General features: G+C 42.2%; 1 protein-coding gene across 16 annotated transcripts in view; it reads right to left on the reverse strand.

The window, feature by feature from the left end:
- RAF1 (Raf-1 proto-oncogene, serine/threonine kinase) overlaps positions 1 to 12,889 on the reverse strand; it is an 80,517-nt gene that overhangs the window by 27,300 nt on the left and 40,328 nt on the right. For 10 of the 16 annotated variants that reach the window (NR_148942.3, NR_148941.3, NR_148940.3 and 7 more), the window contains 2 exons: positions 7,615 to 7,847; positions 1,050 to 1,162 (listed from right to left, as the gene is read on the reverse strand). Coding sequence is in view for 13 of the 16 variants with exons in the window: in NM_001354693.3 (NP_001341622.1) it covers positions 1,050 to 1,162; positions 7,615 to 7,821 (320 nt within the window). In the remaining 3 variants the exon portion in view is untranslated. Of the gene's footprint in view, positions 1 to 1,049; positions 1,163 to 7,614; positions 7,848 to 12,002; positions 12,098 to 12,889 lie in introns of those variants that run through there. The other 6 variants (NM_001354695.3, NM_001354692.3, NM_001354694.3 and 3 more) reach the window with 3 other exon arrangements.

Below are 12,889 nucleotides of genomic sequence, written 5' to 3' on the forward strand. Positions count from 1 at the left end.
CACCATTAGGAATAGGATAAACCATGAATCTTCCCTGAAGCAGAAATGCTTCTGCATCTTTAAACAATCTATCAAACAGCAGGGATTAGTACACATTTAACTGAATAAAAAAAAAAATTAGTGAATGAGAAAAGTCAATCTCCCGAGGATAGCATTCTTTATATAAAATAATGCACTTTCTGAGTGCCCAGTCTATATAATGCATTAGAGTAAACACAAAGAAAAATCTTTGTCTCAAAAAAACACAGCATCTAACATCACTGTTTCCATCCATGGAAACATTATCAATACCTAACATGTGTTTGTTTTTGTTTTTTTGTTTTTTGGCTTTTTTTAATAGACAGGATCTTGCTCCAGCCCAGGCTGGAGTCCAGTAGCACAATCATGACTCACTGCAGCCTCAAGCCCCTGGGGTCATGCAATATTCTCACGTCAGCCTTTCGAACAGCTAGGACTACAGGGCCGCACCACCATGCCTGGCTAATTTTTAAAAATCTTTTGTAGAGATGGGCCTTCGCTATGTGCCCAGGCTGGTCTTGAACTCTTGGCCTCAAGCAACCCTCTTGCCTCAGTTTCCCAGTGTTAAAATTACGGGTATTACCATCCTGGCTAACACGGTGAAACCCCGTCTCTACTAAAAATACAAAAAATTAGCCGGGCGCGGTGGTGGGCGCCTGTAGTCCCAGCTACTCCGGAGGCTGAGGCAGGAAAATGGCGTGAACCCGGGAGGCGGAGCTTGCGGTGAGCCGAGATCGCGCCACTGCACTCCAGCCTGGGCGACAGAGCAAGACTCCACCTCAAAAAGAAAAAAAAATTACAGGTATTGGTCATCAGGCCCAGCTTAACGTGTATTTAACTTTTCAAGAGAATGTCCAAGCAATAATTTCAATTTCTTAATACCTATTTTTCTGAATTATCTCTTTATAAAGAAAGGTATAGAAATATACAATATTCTATAGGAAGCTAGTACAATTTAATACAAACATAGCTATTTGAAGCTAGAAGATCCTTACTAGTCTGAAGAAGTCAATTGACTTTTGAGCTCTTACCCTTTGTGTTCGTGGAGAAGTCTGAACACTGCACAGCACTCTGGTTGCAGGCCCCTCACCTTGAGTGCTTTCATAAGGCAGTCATGCAAGCTCATTCCATTTCGCACATTGACCTACAAACAAAGGACCACCTTTAGGACCAACACAGGCTGCAGCACCCCTTGGAAAGGTGGGCACAGAAATAAATGCACCAGTCTGTATTGCTTGTGATGGCCCACGCACACACACATATACGAAACAACCTGAATGTCCAGCAATAGGAAAGTACTTGAATGGAGTGTGAGACATCTGTATTATGTCACATTATGCAGCTATTATATTACTTATAATGACCTGGATGGAGAGGAGTCCATGATATATTAATTGGGGGAAAATATCCTTCAGAATAATAGAGTAAGATTATTTTAAAGGTGAAGAGGCCAGGCACGGTGGCTCACGCCTGTAATCTCAGCACTTTGGGAAGCCGAGGCGGGTGGATCACCTGAGGTCAGGAGTACGAGACCAGCCTGGCCAACATGGTGAAACCCCGTCTCTACTAAAAATACAAAAATTAGCCGGGCATGGTGGTGGACGCCTGTAATCTCAGCTACTTGGGAGGCTGAGGTAGGAGAATTGCTGGAACCCAGGAGGGAGAGGTTGCAGTGAGCTGAGATCGCACCATTGCACTCCAGCCTGGGTGACAAGAACGAGACTCCGTCTCAAAAAAAAAAAAAAAAAAAGTGAAGAAATCTGTATATGTTATACAAGTGGAAAGATTTACACCTAGCTGTTCACATCAAGAGACAGTTAAGAAAGTGGTTAGAAAGTGGTTAAGAAAGATAAAATGATAAACTTTTCCTTTATACGTCTCTAATTTTGTGTGATTAGAATGTATACACATATATGTTCACTAGATTCATTAGAGAGGAAATAAGCCAATCTGATCTATAAACAAACGAGTTTTTATGATCAAAATTTGTACTTCAACCTCTTTCAACAAAAATGACTGATGATTCTAACAAAAATTCCATCTCACAAGTACTTAACACTAGTGAAGGCAAAGCAGGAAGTGGAAGATATAGAACTCCAGCCCTGCTGTAGGGACAAACACCAATCTTAGTTTAAATATATGTGCACACCATACCAAGCAGCCTTAGTGGCACATACTTCTCTATATTCCCCTGTACTCAATCCTCAAAAAGCTAGGCAGGTACTCAGAACCCTACTGGGAAGTGTGAGTGCCCAGGATACTCACAATTAATGGCAGCTGTAAAAAAATTTGAATGAAAATTTCAGAGTTTTGATAAAAGCCCTCCATGTTTAACTTCAAAGCCAAGAATTAATCAAAAGTAAGGTAACTAGAGTCAGTATGGCCAGCAAGGAGGGCAAAACAGAGATTTGCAGTGCTTGTGAACTGCCTACCAGGTTCCTCCTCTGATTGAAAGTGCTAACAGCTGACAGCAGCCAGCCAACCGCTCCCCCACCCCGCCATCCCCCCCCACACCCCGCCCCCAGAAGGTGGTGAGTGTATGCATATATCTACCTATGTGGGTACACGGGGAGGGGGAAGGAAGTAAAGCAGGGCTGCAAAAGGCCCAAAGTGTTCTTAATCTTGGCTCTTACTCCAGCCACCTCAATGCCAATCCAGCCAACCTTCTCTAGCTGGTTTACAACAGAAAAAAGTCTTAAGAAAGAGGACATAGTTATCTGGGCCCTTCTAGTTACCAGGCTCCAAACTAGGGCATAGTATGTGGATGCAAAGCAGAGAAAACAATCTAGGAAAGAAGGGAATGCATGTAAGCATAAGGAATTTGAAAACATCAGAGAGGGGCAACGTAAGAAGTTTTTCACAAGGCTTTATTTTGCTATCACCAGGGACTGAAGGGGACTTATCTGCCCAGTAATCATTCTTTGAAGCCCAAAGATGGACTCCACATTGAGAGTACAGTATAGAAGAATTTGAACTTGTAACAGATTAGTCGAGAAGGTGATGGGAGTGGGGAAGGAATATTCTCCAGGAGGATCAATCATCTGGGAGAAGGAAAAGATTCTCCAAACGAAAAAAGTTCCTTTGGAGTTTGTGATAGCCTCCTTAGCTACCGATGGTTTTTCCTCTCCTTCAGAGATGTGGAAGAAAGGAAAGGTCGTGAACAACAGGGTAAGGGGAAACCAACTGATTCTTCGAATAGATAAAGATTGATCATAAGAAACCTCTGAGGAAAAGAAATGGGGATACAGGGGCAGGGGTCACCCAAGACTTTTGGCTCATATGAATGCTTTACCTATTTAAAAATAAATAAAATTAGCATTCTTTAAAAGTTTCTTGTACATACCAAAATAGTTCAGACAAATGATACCTGGGATTTGTGTCAAAACACTGGGAAAGGAGTGGATGAAAACAGATTAAGCAGGCCTGCCATGGTTAGCTAAGTGTTGAAAGTGGGTAAGGGGTACATCAGATTTGTTATTTTCTCTACGTGCGTGCGTGTGTGTGTGTGTGTAAAATCTATATTATATATACTGAGACAGAATCTTGCTCTGTCATCTAGGCTGGAATACAATGGCATGATCATGACACATGTACCCTTTACCACCCCAGTTTAAGTGATCCCCCTGCCTCAGCCTCGGCTGGGACCACAGGTGGGCAGCACCACTTCTAGCTAATGTTTTTTTTTTTTGTAGAGACAAGATCTCACTATATTGCCCAGGCTGGTCTCAAACTCCTGGGCTCAAGCAATCCTTCCACCTCAGCCTCCCAAAGTGCTGGGATTACAGGGAAGAGCCTCTGCACCCAGCCTGTATATATTTTTTAATGTTCCAAAATAAGTTTATTTTAAAAGTTTCTTGACGCAGTGATACCCACCAACTTCCAGCTTTTCAGAAACAAAACAAGTAAGCTATACTGATGTGAACTACTAAGACACTAAGAATGAGGAAAACAAAGAGTAATAAACATACCTAACGGAATCATGACCTGCATCAAATACTGTATAGCAATGTTTTCTAAGCTATAAAGTGATATCTGTTACATTATCAGTCTTCACTAAATCATACTGCAAGCTGGACAGTTCTTTAAATATCATCTAATCCAGTCAGATTCCCAAATGTAGCTGGCATTAGAATCCTCAGAGAAGCTTGAGAAAATATAGATTCCATCTACCTGTCCAACACATCCAAGGATTCTGATTCAGTTAGTATGGAATAAAGCCCATTCATACAGAATGAATCTGTATTTTAACCTGCTGGTCAGCTGACTCTAATAGTAGTGGTCCTCGGCTCCAGTCAATCACTTATCTAATAATAATTAGAAGCAGTAGCAGCAGCAGCAATAGCAGCAACAGCAGCAGGAGGAAGTCAAAGAGGCACACATTTAGAAAATAAAAATTCCAAGAAACATTCAAAAACCTAATTATCACATCTAAAATTATTTAAATCAGATACGCGTCCTCTGTCTCATTCTCCTCTTTACAGCCCTCCATGGATACATGCTGAAATCAGTTAAATAATTTCTAGAACCCACTGAGTGATTATGAGAGTCATTCTGGGTTCAGGAAGTAAAGCAACCTGGGGAGGAGTAAAAAGAGCTGACTGATGGTGCTGGCCTAGCTAAGCAACTCTTCCCTCTTCTACCGCTTTCCTCAAGCTGCGTGCCTGGTGAAAGCAGCTAGTTCTTCCACAGTTAGTTCATCTTTACCCAAAGAAACAGGCAAAACTAACCTAGGCTACAACCTTCTCATAAGCTGTAGGAGAAGTCAAGCTTGGCTTCCAACCACCAGCTGTGCTCAAATGGAGGGGATCAAGGACTACATAGATGTATAAAAAGCTAAGAAATAATCATAGCAGCCGGGTGCAGTGGCTCATGTCTGTAATCCCAGCACTTTGGGAAGACGAGGCAGGCGGATCAGAAGGTCAGGAGTTTGAGACCAGCCTTGCCAACATGGTAAACCCTGTCTCTACTAAAAATACAAACAAATTAGCCAGGCGTGGTGGCGGGTGCCTGCAATCCCAGCTACTTGGGAGGCTGAGGCAAGGAGAATCGCTTGAACCTGGGAGGTAGAGGTTGCAGTGAGCCGAGATTGGGCCACTGCACTCCAGCCTGGGTGACAGTGAGAGCCTCCATCTAAAAAAAATACATATAATAATAATAATAATAGCTACCACTTCACTTATGAATCAGCCACTGTGCTAAGTACAAGCCTCATTTCATAAAGGTCAGGAAAGAGGATCAAAAAAGTACAGAACTTGTCTAAATGATACAGCTAATAAAAGGCAATGAGGATTTAAATTGGGATTTTCTTGTTTTAAAGGTTCATACACTTAATCACTATGCCAAATTAAGTTTCCCAGCCTTCTGGGCAAACTGGTAGCAGATGGGGATGGAGAAGATAGTCTCAATAACACTTTGAAGAAGCACCAAATGGTCTTCAGCTTCTCATAACACACACTTCCTATCTGACTTCTCAATTTAAGGTCACAAAGAAAATTAATGAGAAACAGTAGGCAAAATTACTTTGCAAATGGAAGACCATTGTTCAGATATAGGGGATTATTACTGCTTATTTTGCCAGCCATAAAATTTTCATTTTTAGGAAGAGAGACAAAGATAAACTTACTCAAACTTTAATTAAAGTTAGACTTTTGAGTTTTGCCTTCAGTTCAAAATGCACCTAAGTATTCAACACTACACTTGGGAGGCTCCTTAGGTTCACAAAAAAAGTATAAACAATTTATTAACAAATTGGGAAGAGTGGAACTGTTAGAAGCAAACAGAAAACTCTGGACTGGGGTTCCCCACCTCAGAACCTTGCTTCACCTGACTATATGGAATAAACACAATGCATTGATTTTACACAAAGAACAGAGGATGGGAAAGGAAGAGGCATGGAAGTTTTGAACCCAAGTTTTCTCAAAAGTTCCACCAAGCAAAACCAATGCAATTTCACTTTTCTGTTTTGGCCAGGTGGTTGGTTTTGTTTGTTTTATCCATAATAGTAGAAAACTTTTTTTGTTTTTCTTTTCTTTGAGAAGGGGTCTGGCTCTCTGTCACCCAGGCTGGGGTGAAGTGGTGCAATCTCAGCTCACTGCAACCTTTGCCTCCTGGGCTCAAGCCATCCTCCCACCTCAGCCTCCCGAGTACCGAGTAGCTGGGACTACAGACGTGTGCCACCACGCCCGGCTACATTTTTGTTGTTATTTCTTTTTTTAATATAGTCTCACCCTTTCGCCCAGGCTGGAGTGCAGTGGCGCAATCCTGGCCCACTGCAACCTCTGCCTCCCGGGTTCGAGTGATTCTCCTGCCTCAGCCTCCCAAGTAGCTGGGATTACAAACGTGCAACACCATGCCTGGCTGTAATTTTTGCAATTTTAGTAGAGATGGGGTTTCACCATGTTGGCCAGGCTTGTCTCGAACTCCTGACCTCAAGTAATGAGCTGGCCTCAGCCTCCCAAAGTGCTAGGATTACAGGCGTAAGCCACTGCACCAGGCCTACTTTTTTGAATTTTTTTTTGTAGAGATGGGGTTTGCCACGTTGCCCGACTGGTCTCGAACTCCTGAGCTCAAGCAATCTGCCCACCTCGGTCTCCCAAAGTGCTGGGATTACAGGTATAAATCACCACACCCAGCCAGAAAACTTTTTGAGAGCTAAATTCTTAGAAAAATTGAAGTTTTGTTATCAGGCTGGGCGTGGTGTCTCATGTTGGTAATCCCAGCAGTTTGGGAGGCCGAGGCAGGTGGATTACCTGAGGTCAGGAGTTTGAGACCAGCCTGGTTAACATGGTGAAACCCCGTCTCTACTAAAAATACAAAAAACAAAAATCAGCCAGGCGTGGCGGTGTGTGCCTGTAGTCCCAGCTATTTGGGAGGCTGAGGCAGGAGAATCACTTCAACCCAGGAGGCAGAGGTTGCAGTGAGCTGCACTCCAGCCTGGGTGACAGAGTGAGAATCCGTCTCAAAAAAAAAAAAAAGAAAAGAAAAAGAAAAAGAAATTTTCTATCAGAAAACCTAGTGGCAGTGTCCTGCCATGATGCCAATATGAACCTGTCACTGGCACTGAAAAAATAAACTACGCAGAACTAAGTGGCTGGTGTCAGTGCCCTGAAAAAGAAGATTCTATGATTTCTAAGCTGCCTCCAGACTGGTCCTGGGCCTATGAAATATACAAAAATAATCTTTTCTATGTAACTTTACTTTCTTCTTTATACTTGATTGTAATAGTCAAAAAGCTTTAGGTGAATATTTTAATAGAAGAAATAAAATGTCTTCTAAAATAAGTAGTTGGAAAGGCCTAGAGACTTCTCAAAGAAAAGTCTTTGAAATATACCCATAAGAATGTACTATTTGTTTGGATGAAGTGGCACAAAGGAAGACATTCCAGGCAAGAGTAACAGAAGGAAGGCCAAGAGGTAGGAAAAAATAGGGGGTGTGGAAGGAACAGCAATATAAAAAAATAAATCTGCAGTTAGAAAAAAAAAAATAAAGACCCTAAATGACAATGAATATTTTGCCTGTCTTTAAGTTGAACATGATCCTTAATGTGCTCCACAGGCAGATAAATAGCTAAATTTCCTAAGTAGAATGTTCACATACCACTGTTCTTTGCTTGTTCGGCAAGAAAACACGGATAGTGTTGCTTGTCTTAGAAGGATCTGTGAGTTTGCCATCATCTGATGCCCGGCGCTGATAGCCAAACTGCTGAACTATTGTAGGAGAGATGCAGCTGGAGCCATCAAACACGGCATCTTTGAATCCAAAACCATTGCTGATCGTCTTCCAAGCTCCCTGTATGTGCTCCATTGATGCAGCTTAAACAATTCTTAAACCTGGTAAGAAACACAAATAATTGTAACTCTAGAACAAAAGTATTCAACCCAAGAACACAATACATAAAGAGTAATTATGAAAATAGCACTATGTGGGTTTTTAATGATACCTCCTGCATTCATCAGCAAAGAAAAGTTTCTTTAATAGTACACTTCCATTAAATATTTCATAGATGAGGAAAATGGGACCAGCAGTTAAAAGATTTAGCAAGCAACTGCGGGGCACGGTGGCTCACGCCTGTAATCCCAGCACTTTGGGAGGCCGAGGTGGGTGCATCACGAGGTCAGGAGATGGAGACCATCCTGGCTAACACGGTGAAACCCCATCTCTACTAAAAATACAAAAAATTAGCCGGGCGTGGTGGCGGGCGCCTGTAGTCCCAGCTACTCGGGAGGCTGAGGCAGGAGAATGGCGGGAACCTGGGAGGCGGAGCTTGCAGTGAGCGGAGATCATGCCACCGCACTCCAGCCTGGGTGACAGAGCAAGACTCCACCTCAAAAACAAAACAAAACAAAACAAAACATTTAGCAAGGGACCAGGCACAGTGGCTCATGCCTGTAATCCCAGCACTTTGGGAGGCCGAGGCCAGCGCATCACTTGAGGCCAGGAGTTCAAGACCAGCCTGGCTAACATGGTAAAATGCTGTCACTACTTAAAATACAAAAATTAGCCAGGCATGGTGGTGGGTGTCTGTCATCCCAGCTACTAGGGAGGCTGAGGCAGGAGAAATCACTTGAACCCAGGAGGTGGAGGTTGCAGTGAGTCGATATCGTGTCATTGCACTCCAGGCTGGGGGACAAGAGCGAGACTCCATCTCCCAAAAAAAAAAAAAAAAGCCAACTTGGAACATGAGCCCAGGTCTCAAGACTTCTAGTCTATTACTTTTTCAACTACATTTCTCTTCTTCCTAAGCAACTACTACCCTTGAGTGTGAGCAACACATTAGTACTATGAGAAATACCTGAAAAAAAGTGTAAGCCATAATTTATGACTTCAAGGAAGAAAAACTAATATTTCTAGGATGTATTTTAGGCACTTTATAAATTATCTCAAGCCGGGCATGGTGGCTCATACCTGTAATCCCAGCACTTTGGGAGGCCGAGATGGGCGGATCACAAGGTCAGGAGATCGAGACCATCCTAGCTAACACAGGGATACCCTGTCTCTACTAAAAATACAAAAAATTAGCCAGGCATGGTGGCGGGCGCCTGTAGTCCCAGCTACTCAGGAGGCTGAGGCAGGGGAATGGCGTGAACCCGGGAGGCAGAGCTTGCGGTGAGCTGAGATCGCACCACTGCACTCCAGCCTGGGGGACAGAGCAAGACTCCATCTCAAAAAAAATAATAATAATAAATTATCTCATTTAATTTGTGTAAGAACCCCAAAGATTTTCTTTTCTTTTCTTTTCTTTTGAGACAGAGTCTCACTCTATTGCCAGGCTGGAGTGTAGTGGCGCGATCTTGGCTCACTGAACCTCCCAGGTTCAAGCGATTCTCCTGCCTCAGCCTCCCGAGTAGCCGGGATTACAGGCATGCACCACCACGCCCGACTGATTTTTGTATTTTTAGTAGAGATGGGGTTGGCCATGTTGGCCAGGATGGTCTCAATCTCTTGACCTCGTGATCTGTCCGCCTCGGCCTCCCAAATCACGCCTGGGATTACAGGCATGAGCCACCGTGCCCAGCCAGATTTTTAATCCCTTCCTCCATCCACACTTTCTTTTTAATTAATTTATTTTCTGAGACAGGGTCTTGCTCTGTTGCCCAGGCTGGGGTGCAGTGACATGATCACAGCTCACTGCAGCTTCAATTTTCCAGGCTCAAATGATTCTCCTACCTCAGCTTCCCACATAGCTGGGACCACAGACGTGCATCACCATGCCCAGCTAATTTTTAAGAACAGTTTTTTTTGTTGAGAAAGGCTCTCACTATGTTGCCCAGGCTGGTCTTGAACTCCTGAGCTCAGGCAATCCACTCTCCTTAGCCTCCCAAAGTACTGGGATTACAGGTTCAGTCACTGCAAACCCTTTCTTTTTTGGACACAGAAGTCATGCTACTTGCCCAAGAACACCCCAGCAGTGGGTAAAATAACCAGATTCTTTATCTGTTTAAATTTAAAGTCCATGAATTTTCTACCATAACATTCAGAGTTCAGAGTTCAGTTCATTCAGAGTTCAGAGTTCAGTTCATTCAGAGTTCAGAGTTCAGTTCATGGTCAGAAACCATGCAGAAGTAAGGGGGGTAGGGTTTCCTCCTTTAGAAAACTTTGAGGTTGATAAGGAATCCCATCTTTTCAAGCCTTCCTCCTTCAGAAACTTGTTTTATTATTAACAGTAGCTACCATTTACTAAAAGCTTACTATTATGAGGCAGGATACACAGCATACATTCCAATCATTATCCACCTTAATACTTACAGTATTACTCTAGGTAGGAATTATGTCCCCATTTTACAGTTGAGAAAATTCTCACACACACAGCTTGTAAGTGGCAAACTGGGATTCTGAACTGGGCTGCACTGACTCCATAGCCCTTACCTTCCCATATATAACACTAACACTCAAATCATTTTAGTCAGAGCTGAAATGGCCTAGAATTAAAGACCACAGAATCCAAACCTTGTTTTCAACCAAAAGTTTCTAACTGAATATCCACTATATGCTAAATCACATCACATGCCCAAATCAAGAGGGAGGTTAGATACTTAGTATTCTTAGATGACAGCTAAGAAAACCAAAGAGGTTTAGAGACAACTTAAGATCACAACATGGAGTTATTCTCATACAGTCTTTGTACATTCTTTTTGGGAAAGAATACGGTAATATCTATTAAAAGTTTGAAATGTTCTTAAAGAATGACCTAGTATTCTACTCCAGAAATTTGTCCTACAGAAGCCTAAGACAAGTGTATAAAAACATGTGTAAGCATATTCCTTGCAGCACTATTCATACCCTTGAAAAACTGTGGTAAAGACCAAATACCTAACAATAGGGAATTAAATAAACCATGTTAATATCCACGTGATAAATAAAGTAGATCCATATATACAGAGGTGGGAAAAGATATCCAAGACAACAAAAAATGAACAAGTCTGAACCCTTTAATATTAATCTACAAAGAGGGAAATCTAGAAATAAATAAATGGATGGGGAACTCTAGAATTAAAGTGTTAACAGTAATCATTTCAGCAGGACTGTGAAGGGTTTTTATTTTCTACATTACTTACTTTTTGTTTTTATATTTTACTATTACACTATAAACTTTTATCGGCATATTTTATTTCTGTAAGAGGGGATGACAGAACAAGATCTCGCTGCCTCCTGCCTCTAAAGCCTCAACCTGAGCCCTGACTCACTCCTACATAACTCTATCCCCAGGTTACTATGAGGTCCCTTTTTAGGAGTACATACAGCTCCTCTTTTTTCTAGATCTTTGAGTTTTTTTCCAACTAAAAAGGAAAAGATGGAGGAGCTTAAGACCAGATAAGAGAGAAATAGATGACGGAAGAGACAGAAGGCAGACTCATCTGAGCATCTCACTAGCCTGAAATGATACAGCTCCTAATAATCCATGTAACAGCCTGAACAGGCTTAAAATGCAACTCATTGTGTCACTCCCGTTTTAAAACTCAGAATAAAATCTAAACTCCCTGACAAGGCGTCTAAAGGCCTTCTTTCGTAACATGCCAGACTTTGTGCCTCAAGACTTCTGAACTTCGTGTTTCTCTTCACCTGCAAGGCTGAAACCCCAAAAACAGGCAAGCTGGTTTTTTCACATCTTGTCTCCACCCAAGAGACATCTCTTTAGAGAGGCTTTCCCTAACCACACTAGCCAAAATAGCCTGCTCTCCTTCTGCCAATTAATACTGTTTCATTTTCTGCATGGTACTTATGTTAGACAGTTTTCAAGTTTTAGTCAGTCCCCCTACCTTCCTTCTGCTCCATAAGGGCAGAACCCTGCCAATCTTGCTCAGTATCTGGAATACAAAGGCACTCAAATATTTACTAAATTAAGGGAAAAGCCAGAATAATGCTACAAAAACAGTAATGTTTTTAAATAGAAAAGACCTGTCAAAAACTATCAAATGTGAATCAAATCTCCATTTAGTGGTACATCTTTAAAAAATACTTTGTCAGCCGGGCGCAGTTGTTCACACCTGTAATCCCAGCACTTTGGGAGGCCCAGATGGGAGGACAGCTTGAGGCCAAGAGTTCAAGACCAGCCTGGTCAACACAGCAAGACCCCATTTCTAAATTTAAAAAAAAAATTTTAATTACAAAAACAGTATTTTGTTTTCCAGCAAGATGAACTGTAATAAATTTTATTTTTTATATAGATATATATTTTCAATTGAGATGAGGTCTCACTATGTTGCCCAGGCTGGTCTTGAACTCCTAGGCTCAAGCACTCCTGCCACACTTGTGCCCCTGCACCCAGCTTGCAATAGATTTTATTCTATATTCAACTGTGGGGGAAGACTGTATTGGAATTGACTGATTCCAATCGATTGGTGAAGAATCCACTGATAAGACTAAAATGTAACCTCAGTCCAAGAACAGTAATTTTACAATGAATTCTAAGTCTTGCAGGCACTCAAAATATAGTGCTGGTACTCAGTAGAGAATATACTGCAATAACTTTTAATAAAAAGTGACAAAATAAAAATACACCTACTTTATTTAATTCAAGTTTTAGATTATTTGTCATTCATAGTATTTTATTTTCTATCTCCATATCAAGACCACTTACAGCTTAAGAGGCAGGCTAAGGGTTGGGTGCGGGGGCTCACGCCTGTAATCCCAGCACTTAGGGAGGCCGAGGCAGATGGATCACGAGGTCAGGAGATGGAGACCATCCTGGCTAACAGGGTGAAACCCCTCTACTAAAAATACAAAAAATTAGCCGGGCGTGGTGGTGGGCACCTGTAGTCCCAGCTACTCAGGAGGCTGAGGCAGGAGAATGGCATGAACCTGGGAGGCGGAGCTTGCAGTGAGCCGAGATCATGCCACTGCACTCCAACCAGCCTGGGCGACAGAGCGAGAC

The sequence above is a fragment of the Homo sapiens genome, chromosome 3 (genome assembly GCF_000001405.40).
Source record: "Homo sapiens chromosome 3, GRCh38.p14 Primary Assembly".
Lineage (NCBI taxonomy): Eukaryota > Metazoa > Chordata > Mammalia > Primates > Hominidae > Homo > Homo sapiens.